At 37.9% G+C, this 22,764-nt stretch overlaps 1 long non-coding RNA gene across 1 annotated transcript in view; it reads right to left on the bottom strand.

Moving 5' to 3' along the window:
* The window catches only part of LOC105374958 (uncharacterized), a 119,161-nt gene extending 100,797 nt beyond the window's left edge, over positions 1 to 18,364 (bottom strand). The window contains exon 1 of the long non-coding RNA XR_001744010.1: positions 18,299 to 18,364. This is a non-coding gene — a long non-coding RNA (uncharacterized LOC105374958). The remainder of the gene's footprint in view (positions 1 to 18,298) is intronic.
* Between the last annotated feature and the right edge of the window lie 4,400 nt (positions 18,365 to 22,764).

Below are 22,764 nucleotides of genomic sequence, written 5' to 3'. Positions count from 1 at the left end.
AGTATACATTTTTCTCGTCTGCACACAGAACATACTCTAAGGTCAACCACATGCTCAGTCATACAGCAAGTCTCCATAAATGCAAAAATATCAAAATCATACCAACCATACTCTTGAACCACAGTGGAATAAAAATAGAAATCAATACCAAGAAGACCTCTCAAAACCACACAATTACAGGAAAATTAAACAACTTGCTCTTGAATGACTTTTGGGTAAACAAAGAAATTGAAGCAGAAATGAAAAAAATCTTTGAAATCAGTGAAAACAGAGACACAATATCAAAATCTCTGGGATGCAGCAAAAGTGGTGTTAAGAGGAAAATTGATAGCTCTGAACACCTACCTCACAAAGTTAGAAAAATCTCAAATTAACAATCTGACATCACACCTATAGGAACTAGAAAATCAAGGACAAACTAACCTCAAATCTAGAGAAGAAAAGAACTAAACCAGGGCAGAACTGAACGAAATTGAGATCCAAAAATCCATATAAAGAATCAACAAAACCAAAAGTTTGTTTTCTGAAAGGATAAACAAGATCAATAGACTGCTAGCTAGATCAACAAAGAAAACAAGATAGAAGAGCCAAATAAGCACAATCAGAAATGACAAAGGTGACTTTACAAATAATCCCACAGAAAGACAAAGGATCATTAGAGATTATTATGAGCACCTCTATGCACACAATTAGAAAATCTAGAGGAAATGGATAAATTCCCGGAAACACAATCTTCCAAGATTGAATCAGGAAGAAATTGAAACCCTGAACAGAACAATATTGAATTCCAGAATTCCATTAGTGATTAAAAAAAAACTATCAACCTAATAAACCCCTGGACCAGATGGAAAGAGTGAACTTTAATGTAGACTGTAGACTATGGGTGATTATGATGTGACATGTAGGTTGTTTGTAACAAATGTACCACTCTGGTCCGAGGAATGTTGGTAATGGGGAAGGCTACACATATGTGGGGGCAGGGGATATATGGGAAATCTCTGTACCTTCCTCTAAATTTTGCTATGAATCTAAAACTGCTTTTAAAAAATAAAATCTATTAAAAGAAAAAAGACATTATAAGTAAGGGTAGGGAGATATGGGTTAGGTGACAAGGTTCACAATAGGAGGATCCCATCATAACACATACTACAGTGAAAATAAAATCAAATTCCCATTATAATTTGTAAATCCCTGGGAAGCACTTATAATCATTCATTAAAAATCCCTTCAAAGAGTGACTTAAGAAATTTGTAAATATTATTTATCTTTGTCCTTTATCCTCTTATCAAAATACGGGAAAATCCTTATTCGTGTATTCATTTATTCAGCTCGCAAATATTTATTGAGTGGCTACTTTATGCCAGGGACTAGATTCTGAGAATGCAATGAACAAAACAGACTAAATATCATTTCCTTGTAGAGCTTATATACTTTAGAGTAAGTGAGAGATGACAATAAGCCAGTAAATAAGTAAATATATACAGCATGGCAGACAGTGATTATTTATTGGTTTAAAAGTCTTCCCATCTGGTAAAACAATAACTACAAATTAAATGATATGAAAAACTTATTTCACCATCAAATAGCAACATCACAACTTCTAAGATGTTCTTTCATCATTGAAGTATTGTGGAAGCATCACTTGATACCAGTCTCTAGAATACTGCCGCATGCTGCTGGCCTTTACAAACACGGTTGTCTTGGAAAAGGATGCGTTCCTTTAAACCCAGAGAGCAGAGGTAACAGATCCTGTTTGAAATGGTTGCTAAGGGACCATTCTATATAAATTAATTAGTAAACATCAACCCAGGTTTCAAAGGGCTAAGGAGGTCTCTCACTTGAGAAGGAAAAATTATTCCCTAATGATTAGGAAAAGGCTATCACAGGGTATTTCATGCACACCAGCAGCACTGCACTGCTGCATATTTTTTTCTTTTTGTTTTGAGGCTTTCTCTTTACTTCGTCCTTTATTGTCTTCTGTAGTTTTATTTATTGTTTCTGAGATTTTCCTTTCTTTCTTTTTTTTTATTTATTATTATTATTTTTTGCATGGGGGAACAGGGAGAAAATCAGGGAAATCTGGAAAGGCAAGCAGGTCTTTGTGTCTTTTAAAAGGTGAGCAGAAGATAGCATGTCCTTCCTGCTGCAGGGCAGAGACTGAAGAGACACTGTTTATGAGGGTTTTTGACATTAAGTCAAAAATGTTCAAAAATGTTATTGAAGTTAAACACAGGCCCAGAAAGTGGTGTTGTTGTTTTTTATCAGAGATAAATTACGAGCGATTTCTGAAAATTTTCTGTGAGAAATAGGGTTAGGATAGAGAGTTTAATATATCGTTATGTTTATATTATTTAAATGTTGCTATAAATAGTTTTGCTGATTTGTAAATAGTTGGCTTAAAATGATGCTTGGATGTCTTCATAAAGGGTTTAATTTCCATAAAGAGTAAAATTTAGAAGAAGATGAGGTAAAACTTTGACTCAGGTATCTCACAGGACGTCTGACTGCTAGGGTCAAAAAGACCACGATAACATAATAGTTCATTTGATGACAAGTTAATTGAATTTCATGAATAATTATGAGAAAGAAAAAAAAGCAAGCTTCTGGTACTCTAGCCTTGTAAACATCATAAAACATTAAAATAAGAGCTAGGGAGAGCTGTGGAAAATGTAAAAATAATTTTTCTTTTAGAATTTATTTTTTAATGTTGTCATATTTTTAAATCATAAAACAATTTTATTTTGAAAGGTAAATGCTTGTAAGGCATTCTTATTCTAAGTATACTTGTGATACAAACTGACTCAAGCATAAATTATGACTAGTTAGAGCAGTACATTACTAACTTAATATCAAGAAGATACATATTTTTTCCTTTTTAAAGCTAATTCTCAATGAGATGAATAAGACAAAAAATAAACCTTTGTATGCCAAATGGAGTTCCAGCTACTCGGTCATAAGGAAAGACTTGCAAACTTGCAAATAAGAATTTTTTTTAAAAAAAAAGAAAGATGAAAAAATATCTTCATATTCTTATCTCCTGCTGTTCTACAAAATTTGCCCTCATTTTACTTATATAGTCCTTGCTTGTTTGGTAAAGAGGGAGCCCTGTGGGATTCCAAAGGTAACACAATAGAGGCAATGGACTGTTTCATTTCCCATATGCAAGTGATTACAGAAGGAATGGAAGAAGCTAGCACTAAAGAGGGATTTTTTAAAAGAATAAATGCCCAGTCAGTGTTATTTGAAAAGTATCTAGTTACAGGTCAAGTTACGTGTATTTATCATAGGTGGGAAGGTTAGATTTTCACTACATTAAGATGTAAAACTAGCATATCAGTGTGCACAGTGAGGTTTCTGAACTCAAAGGATAATATTAGATATTTTCCTATTCTGTCCTAGGAGCAAGCTTATACTATATATGGGGGAGGAAATCAACATATCTGAGCAGTATGGTCAGATAAGAAACATTCACGTGATGTTCATAATACAGCTAGTGTCTCCTGCTGGCTTTTGTGAAACAGTTTAAACAGACAAATACTAGACCAGGGGTGTCTAATCTTTTGGCTTCCCTAGACCCCATTGGAAGAATTGTCTTGGGCCACACATAAAATACACTAAAAAAAAATTCACAAAAAGATATAATGTTTTAAGAAAGTTTGTGAATTTGTGTTGGGCAGTATTGAGAGCTGCCCTGGGCCACATTGCAGCCCACGGGCCGCAGATTGGACAAGCTTGTTTGGCTTTTGCTTTCCAGTTTGTTTACTTCAATTCAATGAGTAGTTTCTATGAAACTATAGATGTTGTCTTGGCCTACACCAGAAGTTTCTCTGGAATGTAAGATGAATAAATGAATGTGTGAAAAATCAAATCAAGAAGATGGGAGGAGATTATTAAAGTAAAGAGATTCTTCCTGGTGCTGAACTTTGCCATGAACTTGGCTTGGTTTCTTTCTTTCTTTCCAAATTTTGAGTAAATGGGAACCATTCTAAATAGGCGAGTCATTGGGTGAGTTGTCATATGCAAAGGTTAGGCACTTTCCTACTCTAGCCCTTAGGCCTTCCCTTTGACTTGATTTAAGCTACATCCACAGTGTGTGGGGAGAATTTGCTTCTGAGCTGATGTTAGTGGGTCCAAAAAGTGAAGTTGTAGAAACAGAGAATGTAGGTAGGACGCATTTTTCTTTGCCAAGTTGCCTTCCACATGCATGGAAGGCCATGTTCAGCTTTTACCTCTCCAAGTGAAAACTGCTGTTCCCTGTCTGCCCACTTTCTAGTTGTGCATATTGCTTCCTCAAGAGAACGTTCGAGACCAGGCATGATGGCTCATGCCTGTAATCCCAGCACTTTAGGCAGCTGAGGCGGGAAGACTGCTTAAGCAAAGGAGATCAAGACCAGTCTGGGCAACATAATGAGACCTTGTCTCGATTAAAAAAAAAAAAGAGAGAGAGAGAGAGAGAAAGAGAGAGAGAGAACATTAGAAGTAGGGAAATACATGTGCAAAATGTCATACGTTTTGAAGTATTAAAATGTATGAAATTATTACATATTCATTTCAACCAATTTTATCTAGTTAAGAAAAACCGAAACCAAGAATGAAACAAGCATTTTTCATTGCAAAATCGGAATTTGGCAGATTTATTATCAAATAGGTGAGAGTACTATTTGCCACGATCTAAAGAGTACTGTGTATAGACATCCGCCCTGTATTTAGCTTAAGACTTCGGAGTTTGAAGAAAGTTCACAATTGTCCATTAGCAACCGCCGATACCTTGGCATGGGATGCCCACAACACCAATTTATCAAATGCATACCTGCCTCAAAACAATCTTTTCCTGGCAGATGCTTTAATTGCGCTCTGCAAGAGAGCCAGCTTGCCATCCCATGAGCAGGCACTCTTTGGAGGCTGACAGCCGATTGGCTCCCCCTAGGGGCAGACGAGCCTCCGCGGAGGGAAGGCACCGTGGCAGGTTGCCAGGAAACCAAGCCCTTGGTGCGGCTGATAGAAAAACACAGGAGCAGAGGGTCTCCTTTCTGTGCATTGTTTGGTTAGGCGGCTTCGTCTCTCTCTAGCACACCAGCTGAGTGCAGATCCTGTCTTAACACTCTAAAGCCAAGAAGTTCATCTCCACGAATCCCGACGGAGACACTTTCCTATATCACTTTCTCCTTCTCAGGGGCTGTCTCCCCTGATTTCCTTACACTCTTCATGTTTGCTTTTCATAGTTGCTCTTGCAAACGCGAGACAAAGCTGGAGGAGTGTGTTTGGGAAAATAGATGGCTGAGCTCCAGTAGTCAGGGAGCAATGTGACTTAACGAGGATATTTTATCCTTATGGCTTCATACCTGCAGAGCTCTTTTCCTTCTAAAAGCTCAAAGAACAATTCTGGTCTTGATTTTGCCTCAGCAAGATGCCATAACGTTTAAGAAAATACAACTTCAAAAGAAGACTCTGAAGAAAATCATAGAGTATTTTTGCGATTAGTATATTTATGCAGCATTATAAGATATATAAAGTTGTAGGTGTTGCTCCGCCAAATCTTTTATTACTTTGATTATACTTCGAATAGTCTTCATGTGCTTGAGAAAGGATTTTTTAAAATTATTTTCTTTACCACTTCGGCTTTATGTTCCAATATCTCTTTCTTAGTGAAGACTTCTCCAATTATATTATTTAAAAGTACAGCTCACTTCCCATAAGCACTTCCTGTTTCTGACCCTACTTACTTTTCCGTAATGCTTGTATCAGTCACAGTTCAACTAGGGAAGCAGGACCACTAAGAGTGGGATGAAACATGGGTGTATTATAGAAATAAGGCCTTACACAAAGAACAACTGGGGAACAAAGCCTCTAAGAAGGGAACTAGGAGGCTGGAGAAATGTCCTGAAGCAGCCCTCCTGAAGCACTGTTGCAGATGATGGACAAATAGGAGCTTTCCAAAAGAATACTGGTGGTGAGGCACATGGAGCTGGAATTGGGCAGCATAGGAGAGCTGGTAAAGTCAGCAGAAGGCTCTTGCCTCTGCTTCTATTGGTCGGCCTGAGATTGCCGTAGGTCAGCAGGACAGACAGGAGAAAGAGCTGGACACAGAGCAAGGGGAGAGGAGGAGGCAGAAGGCTCTGGCACCTCTGCATCCGTCTTTCACAGCATGTAGCCATGATGATGTGCAGATAGCACGGCTGCTGCTTCATTTCCAACCTCCAAACCTTGCGAAAATTCCTCTTTGGCCAATTCCACCCAGGAACCATACGAGGAAAGGGATGCTGGGAAACATGGTTCCAGCTTAGGCAGTTGGACACAGTACAAACCTACAAGTGTTTAACCCCTTTCCCCATCTGACATACTGTATACAATTATATAGATTTGTATCCCTGTATGTGCACATACACACGCACACAATTCTAAATTCTATGAGTACAGGGATTTTTATCTGTTTTACATACCTCAGTGTCTTGGCACATAGTAAATATTTACTATGCTTGGCACATAGTAAATATTTAATGAATATTTATTGTCTGAAGTTTTGATTGCTAGCCTTTGAATTTTACCTGTGGACAAAACCTGAGTCAGGATCGTTAATTTTGACAAAAATTGACAAATACAGTTGACAAAACCTAGATCCAGGAAATGAAAAAGTGACCAATTCCAAGAACATGAGTAAGCTGCCAAGCCAGAATTGGAGACAGCAGTGTTTGCTAGTGCATAAGACACTGTCCAGTTAACATGTCCCTCTCCTGTGAGAAATTCGACTCAGTCTACTTCCAGCGGTGGCCTCATTTCTGTTTTTAAGCTCAGGAAAGCTTACATGTGGTTTGCTTAAAAGAAAAGCCAAAGTGGATGGATCCAGTTTGCCAGCTTTACCCAAGTGAAACCAGGAATTAAGCTGTAGAGATGCATTTTTCAGCATCAAGGGCCACCCAGGTCTTAGAAATTCATATTGTTAAATGTCTTGAGAAGACCCCAATTTCTACAGCCTAAGTGGGACACACTTTCTCATCTTATACATTTCCAGGGCCAGATTTTATTAATAACTGGCTGAATCTTAACAGACATAGTTCCTACCCCTATATATGTCCACTATTAGACTGTCTAGTGGCCTTATACCCATTAAGGGGATCATATTTTGAAACCTACAATTTGATTACTTATAAAGGATTTAGAAATCTATCTAATTAAAAGACCTGAGAGAACCACAAATTGAGGCATGTAACCTGATATAAAAGCTTGATTCACTATGGCCCCTGTGTAGCCTGTGTATCAGCTGGAATAATTTTCATTGCAAATAAAACAATACAATGTGGCATAAGCAATAGAGGAAACTTATTAGTTCACATAACTGAAAACCTCAGCCTTCAGGCTGGGACTGATCAGAGCTCCAAATGCATTTCTTTTGTTTTCTTGTCTGTGTCTCTTCCATCCCTTACCCTCTGACTAGCTTCACAAGATGACTGCCTGCAGCACCTGAAGCTGTGTGTTTCCTCAGTCGTGTGCATGGGGAACAAAAGGGCATGTTTCGACACTATTAAACAAAAGTCCAAGGATTATGTTAATAATAGTACCACTACATTAATCCTTGTGTCCAAAGAAATATCATGAGACTGACTGGCTTAGGTCAGGGTTATATAAAGCTATTGCAGTGGGGTGATGGGAGGGATTACCCTGATATTCCAGTACAGGCCCCATGGGCACTGTATTGGCCTGCCAAAGCTGCTGTAACAAGGTACCATAGACCAGGTGGGTACCTTAAACAATGGAAATTTATTTTCTCACAGTTTCAGAGTCTAGAAGGCCAAGATCAAGGCATCGGCAGGCCTGGTTTCTCCTGAGGACTCTTTCCTTGGCATGCAGATGATACTTTCCTACTGTGCCCTCACCTGGCCTTTCCTCTAATTAAAAGACCCAAAAGAACCACAAATTGAGGCATATAACCTGATATCAAAGCTTGATTCACTATGGCCCCTATAATATATAAACTGTACATCAGTTACAGTGATTTTCATTCCAGATAAAACAATACAATGTGGCTTAAGTAATAGAAGAAACTTCTTAGTTCACATAATTGAAAACTTCAGCCTGCAGGCAGGGACTAATGAGAGCTCCAAATGCATTTTTTTCTGTTTTCTTGTCTGTCTATAAGGACTTAGTCCCTCCCTCTTCTTATAAGGACATTAGTCATATTGGATTGGGTTCCCATCTCACCACCTTATTTAACTTTAATTACCTCTTTAAAGGTCCCATATCCGAATATAGTCACATTGGAGGTTAGGGCTTTAACATATGAATTTGGAGGACAGAACTCAGCCCGTAACAGCAGCTGAGAATTGGAACAATCTCTTTCAAATAACTTGACTACAAAAGTACAGGGGAGAAAGGTATTGGGGAATCAACCAAAATGTTCATGAAAATCCAAAAAAATCTTAAACCCTTAAAAGTTCCCTTTACCCATCAAATTAATGATGATTTTTAAAAACATCATTAACGGTGTATTGAATTTCCCCAGGGCAAACTGCTACTAAATGTGGGTCTCCTGGGCCTTATTGTTTTGTCTAAGCAAATATTTTCAGAAGCGTATTCTAAGGAGTGCTAGTCTCATGACATACTGAAAAAAACTCCTGTTTAAATAAATAATGATAAATCCTACATAATGCATTTATCAAGATCTCAACTCACAAATTAGCACATTTAAAGGCCCCAAGAAATCCTAGAGTTTTTAAAAAAAATGTTTACTTTTATATAATACAGGACTTCGTCAACTTTTTGACAACATAGAATTTTCCCCGAATATGACATATTAAAACTCCCATGGAATACATTTTACAAAATGCTCTTCTCTGGAAATGTTACATCTTCTTATTCAAAGTAGGAGGAGATAAATGGCAGGAACAAACATTCAGGCTGAATGATAGAATTGGCATAGGTTTTAGAATGAAGGCTGTTGTACTATACGTTAGTCTAACGTAGCTTTGCTTTTTTCACTGAAAGTTTCCTGTTCTGGGAAAGGAAGCTAATACATTTCGGTGCTAGTCTTTGGCTGTAACAGAAGGGTTGCTAGCTTCAGAGAAATCACGCTAATAGAGCACCTGAATGCATGTGGTCATAGCCTGTTTGCACCTGTTGCAGCCACAGGCTGAGAAAGAAACAGGAACAAGACACATTAAGATTCGGGAATAATGAAGTGTCTACGCCAAGAAGATTGTACAATACAAACTCTGCAATGCAGGAAAATAAAGAACCAGTGACCAGAGGAAAAAATCAGTGGCAGAAGCTCAGAGACAAGAAAGGCCCAGAGCCTCAATTTGCAATGACTGCACAGGCTTGTGTGCCAATAGCTCAACTCCACCCCCTTGCTCTTGGGACACTCTTTCCAATTTTAAACACTTGGACACCATAAGGAGTGGCTGCTTCCAACATATAACCCAAGACATCTGTTAAAGCAAAGTAAAACAGAAAAACCTGAAGGTAATTTGGAGCCTTCCAAACACCTGTGAGTCAGACAACACACAAACCTCCCCTTCTTTAAAAGCACAGATGAGCTTGAACCTTCTGGGCATTTTAGCAGTTTACCATCTGTACCAATAACCCTTTTCTGCAGTTCAGAGAGTCTTCTAGGAGGATGTAAAATCCAGGAACCAAGATAAGGAAACATGTTTACACCTGCTACATCTGTTCAATCTTTTCCAGGCTCTGCTTCACACTGGACTTTCTGTGCAGGCATGCTTTTGAAATCATTCTTGTCCATTTAAGTTTCACATATGCTCCCTAAAAGCATAGCAGAAGAATATAGAAACCAGCTTCAAGAGCTCCGTGGTCCAAGGTTGCATTTCCAGGGAATACTATCTCCATTTTCCTTTTATCTTCAATAATCATGGAACCTAGGTCACCTTGAATAAGGTAAAATACTGCTCTAGTGGTAGGTGATGAAATCACAAAAAATGGGGAGGACATTAAATCAGTTCTGTTGGAAAGTAAAACCTTTAGACAAGCTAATTACAGTGAAGCCATTCATAAAATAATAGGTTAAAAAAGAACGATGATAACCAAACCACCTAGACAAACAACACAGTCATTCATCTTACCTCCAAGAAAAACATAACCCCAACCAGCTATTTGCCCTGCTCCCAGTAGAGGCAGACACACCTGAATGTGCTATGAAGAGACAAGCCTTAGGGGAGAAACAGTGTGATTTGGACAAATCATTCTATAACAGCGAAACCTTTCGATGTGTTCAACGGCTGCAGAAAGCACACCACAGGTGAGAGACCAGAAAGTGCCCAAGGGGTTTCATACAAAAAACTATATTTAGGTATAGGCCACAGTCTACGTAGAAAACCTTCAAAGGGCTGGGAACAGTGGCTCGTGCCTGTAATCCTAGCACTTTGGGAGGCCAAGGCGGGTGGATCACCTGAGGTCAGGAGATCGAGACCAGCCTGGCCAACATGGTGAAACCCTGTCTCTACTAAAAATACAAAATAATTAGCCAGGTGTGGTAGCACACACCTGTAACCCCAGCTACTTGGGAGGCTGAGGCAGAATTGCTTCAACCCAGGAGACAGAGGTTTCAGTGAGCTGAGAACATGCCACTGCACTCCAGCCTGGGCAACAGAGTGAGACTCCGTCTCAAAAAAAAAACAAAACAAAACAAAAGAAAACCTTCAAAGAATCTTCAAAGATGGGTTGGAGGGTAGAAACCAAAAGGATAATTATATTACAACACTGGGACATTACCTCTGACCTGTTCAGCGCATTTAGACCATGATATTCAAGGAAAATGACTGATACTTATACTATATAATAAGAATAATACCAGCGTTCATATTGAGAAATTTGGGGAGGCTAGGATCAACAGGTGGCATGTAAGTTGACAAGAGACCCTATTTAAGAGCAAACATAATTCTGTTAAAGTTTATTTTATTGGGATCTATTTATTTGCCCATTCAAAAATGAAATTGACTCTAAAACAGCAAGTGTTAAAACTAAATAATCTAACCCAGTGTTTCCAACCCTCCTTCCCCAATTTTAAAATAAAACAATTAAAACAAAGAAGACCTAAGTGATTGGTCCAGGGTATCAGAGACAATGGCAAAGCTCAAACAAGAATACACTTCTCTGCCTTTAAGTCCCCAGCTTATTTAGAGATTTCTACTAGTTATAGTCCTAAAAGGATCTAGGGTCTTCCCCACCTATAACATACTCTGACCATATCACAGACAAGTCTTGTAGCTGGAAATCTTTCAGTTCCTAAAATTGTCTTAAATGATTCCAAAGATTAATACTTCTATATGTTCATTGAAGAATAAACCTACTTCTCTGGAAGGTATTATATCATTTTGCCTAATAAAACTTACAGTTTGTGCTTCCCTCCCTTTCTGAAAGAAAGGAAGGTCATAGAGAAGAGAAAAATTTGTGATTCACGCAACTAAATACAGGATGAAGGGGCAGTTTATCCCAAGTCAGCCAATACTGCATATGTAGAATCAGTATATGCTGCAACTTGCTTTCTGGGACCCTAGAGCAAATCTATGGAAAAACCATGCCCAATGGCAACAGTTTGTATTATATTTATATTTCTTCTGGTGTACTGGGATTTCAAATCTATTATCATGGAAATATATTTCACCACAAAACATTGCTATACAGATCTGAGAAGAATTGGATTACCTTCCCTGAAATGATACAACTAAAAGCTCTGATACTAATCCTTATTGGCAGCCAGCACTACACAGTGACCAGGTAGTGGGTCTATGACAGATGTGAGATTCAAACCTGGGTCATCACCCTCCCAAGCTAGCATTCATTTTCCTACATCTGGCTTTATAATAACATAGTATTCTAGCAGGCAACAGAGCAACATTATTTGATACTGACTGCTGATTTGGGACTAGACTTGTTTGTATTCCTATCATCTTTAAATCAATTTATAAAAGTGAAAACCATTTTAGCCATGGGTTAACTGAAAAGCGAGAAGGCAAAGACGAAAGCTTCTGAAGTGAAACTTGGAACAGACAGATCTCTTGTGACTTTTCAGGCTGTTGGCAGCACCTATGGTGGTAATACCAATATGTCACTCCACATCCATGCACATCTTGCCTCCGATATAGTGCGCCAACACTGTGATTGAATTTAAGAAAACTTAGAGGCGCGGCGCGGTGCCTCATGCCTGTAATCCCAGCATTTTGGGAGGCCGAGATGGGTGGATCACGAGGTCAGGAGATCGAGACCATCCTGGCTTACACGGTGAAACCCCATCTCTACTAAAAATACAAAAAAATTAGCTGGGCATGGTGGCGGGTGCCTGTAGTCCCAGCTACTCAGGAGGCTGAGGCAGGAGAATGGTGTGAACCTGGGAGGCGGAGCTTGCAGTGAGCTGAGATCGCACCACTGCACTCCAGCCTGGGCGACAGAGCGAGACACCCTCTCAAAAAAAAAAAAAAAAAAAAAAAAAAAAAAAAAAGAAAGAAAGAAAGAAAGAAAACTTAGAGTAGTTTGTACATAGTTGCAAGAAGTAGACTTTCCCTTTCAAAGTATGATTTTCAAAGAACTCCAGAAAGCCCAAAGACTCAAAAATATTTCCTCCTCACCTCTCCACCTCTTGACTTTGGGATGAAACATTATTTCCTACAAAGTTGTTGTTAAAATTGAAATATTTAACCCGGGTGGAGTAAAATTATATTAAGCAAAACATGATATCATCTAAAACTTTGAAACATTAATAAATAAAACTGTCTGAAGCACTTCAGCTTTTTGTGGCTCACCCCTAGCCCTACTCCACTCCTCTCACTAAAGATAGAAGGTCAAGTTTAAGGGTCCCACGGATTTAAGGTTTAAATTTCCAACTTTAACACCTCTAATGAGGATTTTCTACTCCAGGTCAATAGCTTCTCACAGTCCTTTCTTGAACACTCATTCTTCTCAACCCCTTTCTCTACACTTATGATGCTCTTTCTTCCTGCATAATTTGTCCCCATCATCTCTATCTTTAAGTTTTAATTTGACCTTTTCTAGCAGCCTGAGCTCTTGGAATGTCTCTCTTCTCTGAATCCTGGCTATTTCTGGATCATGCACTGCTGAACATAAACACAATCTGTTTTCCATTGCTCTTTAATATTTTGCTCCCCAAGCAGACTTTCTTCATAACTTTTGTCTACCTTTTCTAACATAGAATATGAGGTCTGAGTGTCCAGAGGGCAATTTTATGACTCTGAGTATTAGGAGAGGGAGGAGATAGAAACATTGATATCTTCAATAGCATTCACTAAGCACCTACTATGCACAGAGCACTTGTTAAGTGTGAACTGCTGAAGATAAACTAGATTCTCCATGAGCCTTATCCCCAAGGAATTTATTGACTAGTGGAGGAGACAGAAAAAGCAAAGATGCCAGGGCTGAGAAAAGTGTGAACACCAATCCTTTTCCTAGGCTTTCTTTTCCTTTGCAGCCACTGTGACTTCCATATTGCATGTGAGTTTAGTCATTAGCCAGATATGAAGTCTCTAGCATCAATGGTAGTATACATCCATTTACATTACCATCCTCAAACACTTTTCTTACTGATGAGAACATCAGAAATCCTTTAGTACGATTTGATAATTACGTGAATTGAGTGCCTGTTATGTGCCAGGCATGGGGCCAATTCTCTTGTCACTGATTTGTGAAACCACAAAGGATGATTTATGGTACAGTGACTCTATTATTTTAGAAAATCGTACAAATGAAACAGCTCAATCAATATTAAATTGTGTTTTTTTCCTCCCCCTCTATCTATACTCAGATCTCAAGGTCAGATAATGTTTTGTCTCAAAGAGTCAGGGGAGAATTCCTTGAGAGTTTCCTTCATTGTCCTCAATAACTCTTTAAGATTCAGATTGTCCAGCCCTTTCAGAATGAGATGGGCTGCAGCTACTCATGACTTACTCTGATTGCATCTTTCTGAGGGGGGCCAGGGGCTTCAAGACATGGTAGAAAAAGCTTGATCTATGTCTCAGACATAAATGGGCTCAAATTTTTATTCTGTAATTCTGTGAGACCGCTGACCTTTGAGCAAATTAGAAAATGGCACTTCCTTTCTCCGTAATAACAGCCCCACGCCAGAGATCATCCCTGGGCAGGCAGAGCACAAACGTATGGCAGACCCAATTTGCCTCTCCTCACTACCAGATGCTGTTGTGCAGTATACAACAATACATGGCAATGCTGACCACTCTTTTTGGTCATTATTTAAGCTTATTTAGCTTCAGTTTCCTAATCTGTAAAATAGGGATAACGACATATCCCTCTGAGACTGTGAAGGGTAAGGAGATGATTTGCCGAAAGTGACTGATACATGGTTGGCACTCAACAAATATTCCCCAAACTCACTCCTTAACTGTACTGACATTTCAATAGGCTGGTTCACACAAAAGCCTGGCTTTCTAAGGCTGTTTACCTTGCCTCTGAGCCCTAGTATGCATGATTTTCAAATCTCAGCTTTTTACCTATGGAATGAGAATTCTCTTATCTTTACATGCTTTCAAAATATTTTGAGAATTTTGAATACTTGAATAGATGTAAAGCACAGTCATACAGAAACCTATACTTTTATATACACACATCTATATAATTATATGTTCCCTTTAAATCAATCATACTGATATTAGCTAATATTAATTGTCTCATTAGGAATCCTGTTAGCCAGAGCTAGAGTCAAGGATCCTTGAGAAATCTAATTGACTCAAGTTAATTGTAATTTTTCCTAGGGGTTTTATTACGATAATTCCTAAGTTGATTATAATATTCTACATTTTTGCACAACACTGAGATTCTTCAAATGAATTATACTTATATGATGACAAAATGTTTGATGATAAAGACAAAGCCTATTATGTTTCATTTGGATCATTCTCTCTATCTTCTATGTTTACCCCAGCTCTTTTCTCACTTTCTATTTTTCTTTGTTTTCTCTGTGTATGTTTTTTTAAATTATCACTTTGTTAGCTGGATCTGTGTTATAAGTGTCTTGTTCTCCTAGTCCATCTCAGTGAAAGGTAGCATAGCCAGGCAGAAAGGATGTGTGTTCTAGAATCACAAGGTCCTAAATAGAAGCTCTAGCTTTTTCACTTACTGTATGATCTTTGAAAAACACAATTTGTATTAACTTCTGTTTTCTCTGCTCTAACGGTGCAGTACTCTACATATACAAGGTAATGTTCAATATGAGAGGTAGAAATTTAGCCATTTAACATCCAGTAAAATTTGGGGGGATATATCTATTCATATAGCATACAGTATGGATTCAAAAAGACTTTTTTGTAAGTAATTGTAGTTTTTAAATTTAGTTTTGACAAAAGCTGTTTTGTTTCTTTTATTTACTCATTTAAATGAAAAATGTGAACTTGAAAGAATGTTCTTCCAGAAAGATCATTCAAGCGCCATCTCTTCCTCCATCTATTAGCCGAATGACATTAGACAAATCATTTAATTTCCTGAATCTGTTTCCTAACTTGTGAAATCAAAGAGTCAGAAAAGATCACCTCTAAGGTGTTCCAGCTCTGAAAACTTTAATTGTAATTTTCCTTTACTGGGTTAAAATATTAATCACTCTTTAATAATGACATGTTCCAATCATGATCTACAACAGCTTATCCACAAATTCCACTTGATAACACATACTTAGAAAAAAATTACATCCTTAAAAATCTTTTGTGGATTTTTTAATATTAATACTTATCTTGTATTTTAGCCATCATGTACATGTTTGAAACATGCATGCTTTATAATACATGTATCATCTAAAGGGCTACCAACTAAATAACTTCCCAGTGGATGTATGGATATCTAATATTCCACAGCCAGAGCCCAAAGAAAATCCTCAGTTACTGATATTCCACAAAAACTGTGAGGCCTGTGCCTATTGTGTTTTATTTTCTTCCAGTTTTATGCCAGTCTCTAAATCCTATGCTCTCATTTTGTACTTAGTTTCTTTGATTTAGAGCCAGATATAAAGTAGGAGATATAGAATTTGTAACTACATTCTTGACTCAATTATCAAAATTCACTGCACAAAATGGACTTATATTCCTCTACGCATATCTTTCCAAAGCTTCTCCAAAGCCTTAGCATTTGAAATAATTTTATATTTCAGATTCCATTTGGATAATTGTTGGATGGTAATGACAGGTCATATGTTTAATGCACTTTCCAGATTGAAAGTCATTTAAATATCTATATCTTAGGGCCAACAATTTCCAAAGGTAATCACCTTAGTTTGCTACATTTCACTTGCATGTGTTACAGGCAGAAGGTGACACTGTTTTGAAAATTGGCAATGAAGAACATAAATACCATTTTACATGTATCATTCTTAGTTCCCTAAAGGAAAATGTGTGTGGTTGTATAGATATGAATTACATGCATGCTGTATATGGTCTACAGATTTTTTTTGTGATTTAATATTGAATAAAACATATTAGCATCTACGTAAGTGCTGAGGCCTAATGAAAATTGAGCAATTAATTGGGAAATTAGATTAATCATCAACATGTTAAAACTGACTTTTCCAAAGGTGACAGGATGTAGTACAAAGGTTATGTGCTGGACAAACAGGCAGATATCAGTTTGAATCCCAGTTTCTAATCATTTAAATTTTAGAAAGTTATTTAACTGATTTAACAATTTTTCACATTGAAAATATGGATAATAATGTCTATTCCCTAAGACTATTTCAAAATGTGATAAAATGTAAATGCAGGTGGTCCGAGGACTTCATAATGAGGACCACTTTATTAAAAATTTTAGCTCCCCAAAGACAAAATTCAAAGTTATATCCTAGGAATTAAGGGTCATTCTAGTTAATTTATCTAATAACTGTTTCCTGATATAACTGTCTAGTATCCTAACAGGGGTGTGAGGCATTGTGAGTTGCTAGGCAACGTAGGAAAGCAAATAAAGCTTCAGTTTGCCTGGGTAGGAATGTAAGTCAGCTACAGAGGCAGATCCCAAAGAAGGAATCTGTAGAGAGTTTTTAGTCTTACTCAGCCTTTACAATCATATTACCATTGAAGGAAAATTGGTACTATTATGTTCCCCACCTCCATGTTTTACAAACTAAGCCTTAGAAAGTTTCCTGAAGACAGATATTCTATGGTGGTAGGTAGTGAGATTTTCTAATTTCAGGATGGTATTGTTTAGTGACAAAAGGATGATAAGTAGTAAATATTTCTTAACTGTGGAAATGCCTATAACACACTTAGTGGTTATCTAATCTGTGGGTTCATCAAAGGGCCATGCTTTATTTATTTTTACACTTTACTCTTACCCCAGAATCTGGAATGTGTATGGCACTTAATAAACATTTCTTGACTGAAGAACTATGTTTTTATAATGTAAAATATGGATAATAGTCCTAGCTGGCTTTACATAAATATTGGGCAGTAGATAGTGAAGTTTCCTTTTTTCAGTAGAACTGAAACAATCAAAGAAATGTTATTTTAGTAAATGTTGATCTCTTTTCATTCTTTCTCCCTGGACATTCTCTGAAATCTCTGTCAATGGAATTTGTTTACTCCAAATCACATCTTTGTTGCCTTTGAGTATTACCATGTTTGAATGTTTACCACTCAAATCCAGCATAAAAGTGTCTTCTTTTTTAGGTAAGATCAGGCAAAGAGGTACTGAATGAATAACACTTGATTGGGAATGGTAAATAACCATGCAATTAAACTGTAAACACTGTGTGTGGTGATTTTAATGTAATTTGAGGACTTGTAAATTATATGGTCATAAAATGGCACTTGGGCTTATGCTTTACAAAAATATCCATGTTTGTATGAGATTAATTAGCGCAGTTTGCATAAAGACATTGAGTAAAGCACTTTCTGAACATTCTCATTTGTAAGGTTTTCTTATTTATAAGGCTTTCTTTTTATTTCTTTCTGTGGTCTTGAAGAAATTATTATCATTGTCCACAGATTTCTGTAGCTGCAAATTAATCTGGACACCAGTAAAGAGTTGATGGGTTTCAGTTCTGCTTAAAAAATAGATTTTTAGTTCTTAAAATGGGTTGGTCATTTTACAGGCTGATTATATCGTTACTTCTTTGGTTCAATTCATGGATCATCAGATGCCCAAATAGGGCTTTTTCACTGTTGGGAGAGTTTATATGCATTATGTTATGAATCACACATACTGCAGCCCAAGGGAAATAACTGTAGCAGAGTGGCTATTAAGTGCTGTTACCACTGCTTTCCACTCATTGCAAGTTTTGCCTAGCAAGGGTCTCCTTTTGGTGTGTGTGATGGTAACAGTAGGAGACCCAAGGTAATCTTACCATCTGAGGCAGCTCTTGTGTTTTTCCATCTCCAGGAAACTTTCACTTTGCAAACTCAGACTCAAGTTACCATGGCACTACTGGGAATTCTCATAGATTATGTTATGATGAAATAATGACGGTGGTGAGGATGATGGTGTAAAATTTGTGATGACTATTTTCCAGGTGCTCTGCTGAGTGTTTTATATTCTTTACCTCATATAATCCTTACAACACCACCGCTGATTTTTAAAAATTATCACTTTATACATGAGAAAACTGAAATGTAGAGAGTCTAAATGATTTGTGCAAGGTCCCACAGCTTGTTTGTCTAGCTCCAAAATCTTTGCTCTTAACGCTTTTTTTTTTTTTTTTTTTTTTTTTTTGGAGATGAACTCTCACCCTGTCACCCAGGCTGGAGTGCAATGCTGTGATCTCGGCTCACTGCAACCTCCACCTCCCGGATTCAAGCAATTCTCCTTCCTCAGCCTCCCTAGTAGCTGGAATTGTAGGCACATGCCACCATGCCTGGCTAATTTTTTGTATCTTTAGTAGACACATGGTTTCACCATGTTGGCCGAGCTGGTCCCAAACCCCTGACCTCATGATCTGCCTGCCTCGGCCTCCCAATGTGCTGAGATTATAGGCATGAGCCACTGTGCCTGGCCAATTTTTTTGATATATTGCTTCAGCATAGATGAGGGCTACGCATTCCTTGAAACTTTATGTACAGCTAAGTTTCAGGTCTTTTTGCATGTGATGCCTTATGTGTTAGGCAGATTCATTTTTTAGTCAGCAATTGAGATAGCTAAGAGACCAGAAGGCTTGACTACTGCATGTCTCACATGGAAGAGCTAACATTCCTGATTTGTAGGACAGTTGTGAAATTGGTCTCTCCGTAACTTATGTAGATCTTGGCTATATCAGAAATATTCCAAGCTGTTGTAAGAAGTCTAGTTACTCACCTTTGGGAGAGTTGTGGGGAAATAGTATGTGCCATTATGAGACAGTCTGGTATGCCACCACAAACCACCGCCAGAGGTCCAGGACATAGGGAAAGACATTTGATGGGAGAGGAGAGGTATGCAGTGGAGTGGTGGCTGGAACACCTGCTCTTACTTTCTGGAAACATGATCCTAAATGAGCATGTGGTCATGAAACACAAAGACAGGTGAGGAAAAAAGTATTGGCCATGATCCTTGCTTTGGCATGTTGGAAATCTGGTCATTTCATCCAAATATTCTATTTGCCATCATGATGACTACCTTGTAAGCTTGATCTAAAGCAGACATTAGCTTCAAATGCCCGATTATTAATGCATGGCAAAAAAATATGACATACAGTGCCAGATTTCCATGGACAAAAATAATCACTCAACTCATTACAGCAAACAATTAAGACTAGCCAGATATATATTAAAGGGAAACCAGAGAGCTTAAGTGTGCTATAGATTTGCCATTTCATTCAAGTAGTCAGCATGTGGAACATCTACTAGGTGTCAGATATGGTGTCAATGGCTGAGGATACAAAGAGGAATATAATATAGACTCAAATTTTGTCAATAGAGAGATGCATATTAACTTTGGTTCAGAAGTAACTATTACTCATAATATTGTATGATTGTAAATTTCAATGAATTGAGAACAGTCTGAACATAATTTTTTAGCGCAGGTGGGAGTAATTATAAATGGTTATTTTGATTTGGACAGCAACATTACCCACTCCTTCTCTGATCAAACTTCTGTACAAGATTCAACATGTTTTCACCTCCCATATATTATCAGATATTAACTCCAGCTGCTTTCTTTTCTGTGCCACATTTAAAAACACCCTTTCTTTTTAAGGCTTTATCACCCCATCCTTTATCTAGACCTCATTGACCTCGTTCTATCAAACGGCAGCTGAAAAATTATTATGTGCAAAATTTCAATGTTTTCTCCAGCTTCATAATTGTGAATATTCCAAAGAAGAGTTCTGCTCTTTCCTCTGGCTTTTCATCAGTGAATGTGTTACTCTTTTCCTTTCTTTAAATTCCAAAGAAAAGTATCATTTTTCAATATGGTACAAACATTTAGCTTTTGCTCACTGAAGCAAAATTTTCAAGTATTTGATTCTTCCTCAGATTATTGTACTCCCAGGTAAATTAAATGTCAGCATGAGGGATAGCTTCACCCACTTCTGTAGCTGGCTTTATTCAATCCAAATAAGTCATAAGGGAACAGCCAGCAAAGCACAGCTTTCTATCACATTCCAAAGGCTTTCCCCCTGTGAGTATGCCAAGTCCAACCAGAAATTCTGAAGAAAGCTAAGAATTCTAAATACTCAGTGGATTTCAGACATGGGATCGAATAAAATCCAACCTCTAGGTGTTTCATAAAGGGAACCTCCTATTCTGGATGGCACCAAACGGAGTAAGACGTTGTTAAAGAAAAATAAAACTTCATTTATCATATAATGAAGCTAAGTGACACATTCTTTGACTCTTAAAAATTAAAGAGAAAAGCAAAAGAACCAAAACCCTGGAAACATAATGGGATTTTTTTTTAATGGAGGAATAGGAACGAGGAATTCTTTTCTCTTAAATTGTCACAGGGAGCTTCCTTTTAGGAACTGTCATCCCTTTCTTACCATTCTTTCCACCCCTTACCATAAGATCAACTGCCAGCTAGAGTACCCCCAGCTGGGTCCCCCTGAGAATCCAGGTAATACACCTACCCATTCCAGCCCCGCTGTGCCGGGGCTCAGTTTGGACTTGTTAGTACCAGAGCCAACATCAGGATCCCTTTGTGTGGGTAGAAGCTCAGATCACCTCCAGGTGTGTGCAAGATTAGCCCATCAATAGAATATAAATAGAGCTGCTCATCAATCCTCCCCATGGTTTTCCTTCAGTCTCATGCTCCTGGGGGATGGATTAGAGAGAAATTATATCATCTGCAGTTTTCGAGGTTCATTTTTAAGAAAGTCAGGTTTTCAGTGGAACGTGGTCTGCCTGGAGCAAGGCTCCTGGATTTGTCGCAGCCACAGGCGGCTGCACAGAGGAGCACATGCTGGAAAGAAAGGGCACCTCAACCAGACAACAAGCCTGAGCCCTGGGGAGGCTGCAAGTCCTTCCCGGGTCATTCTCTAACCTGGTCTCCTTCATGGCTCATTACTTAGGGCCAGAGAGTTTGAAACTAAGTGAATTAGAAGCAGGTAATGGGCCCTCACTTAGAAATACTCTAAAAAAAAAAAAACTGATGAAGTAATACATTCTTTTACATATAGTTACTGCCTGAAAAAATGTGACGATAAAGATAAATAGAACAATATCAAAAGTCTCCTCACTGAAAGCCAAAGTATAATATACTCAAATCTGGGTATTTTTTGACATAAATGACTTACTTTTTTTATCCACCAATTTGTAGACTTATAACCCACATATCTTCACACAAATTTCAGAATATCAGAAACTCTAGGACTCACTATAAAATCCTAGAATGTTAGATCCTGAAGGGTCTTTTGGGTTTACCTATCCACAGATGAAGAAGCTGATGTCTGGAACCAAAATGACCCATATTCGGAGATTCTCTTCCTACTAGCATAGGCTCTTGGAACTTTGGTATGAAGAGAAATTCCAAGGTTTGGGAGGAAAGCAGTATGTTTTGAAACTGACTTTGTTCAAAACACTTAGTGTAATTCAATGATCCATGAAGGAGAGCCGTATCTGGGAACAGAACCAAGTTCTCCCATCAAACAAACTGGAGATGCAATCTGGTCTGTTGACACTAAAGGAATATACCACTTTTTCCACTGTGAGCAAAATTAGACTATTTTTGAAGCAAAATTAGACTCTCAGGCAGCATGATCTAGTCAGAATAGACTCAGATTCTTACCAGCTGCTGCTTGTGTTATTGCCATCCCTGGGCCAATAAGAGCATACTGCTGAATTTGAAATGCTCCATGTCCGTCTCTGGACTGCTATTTTGGCCACTCTGAGGATAGATAGCTGATTTTGAAAATGCTTTACATCAAAATGAATCTCACATTAGTATGCACTTCAAGTTCATAACTATGTTACCCTAAGTAGCTTTTTAATATTTTATTATAATTAGTGTATGTAGATTTGTGCTCCTCTAAAAACTAAACTTTTCTTTTTATTAACCCCAGCTGTTCTGATTCTGTAACAAAACGAATGCATCAGGGAAAGTAATAAACCAATCAACCAACCAGTATTTATTGAGTACCTATTGATGGTCACACCGGAGCTGACCAAGATCAGGAGCTTCTGTATCTCCAAGTAGTTTTTTTAAAAACTACCACTGCATCAGTGAATCACAAGGGGTGGAACAAATGAGCTCTGTGAGACCAGGTACTGGGTCTCCACAGGAGCTTGGGATATTTCAGCCCCTCAATGAATATTTGATGAATGAATGAAATAGCTGAGATTTGGCTCCTAATTTTCCTCTGTATGTGCTGTTTTAGTAATGGGCCAGTTAGAATATTATGAG

The sequence above is a fragment of the Homo sapiens genome, chromosome 6 (genome assembly GCF_000001405.40).
Source record: "Homo sapiens chromosome 6, GRCh38.p14 Primary Assembly".
In the NCBI taxonomy this organism is placed as follows: Eukaryota; Metazoa; Chordata; class Mammalia; order Primates; family Hominidae; genus Homo; species Homo sapiens.
This window is presented reverse-complemented; position numbering and strand designations above follow the sequence as displayed.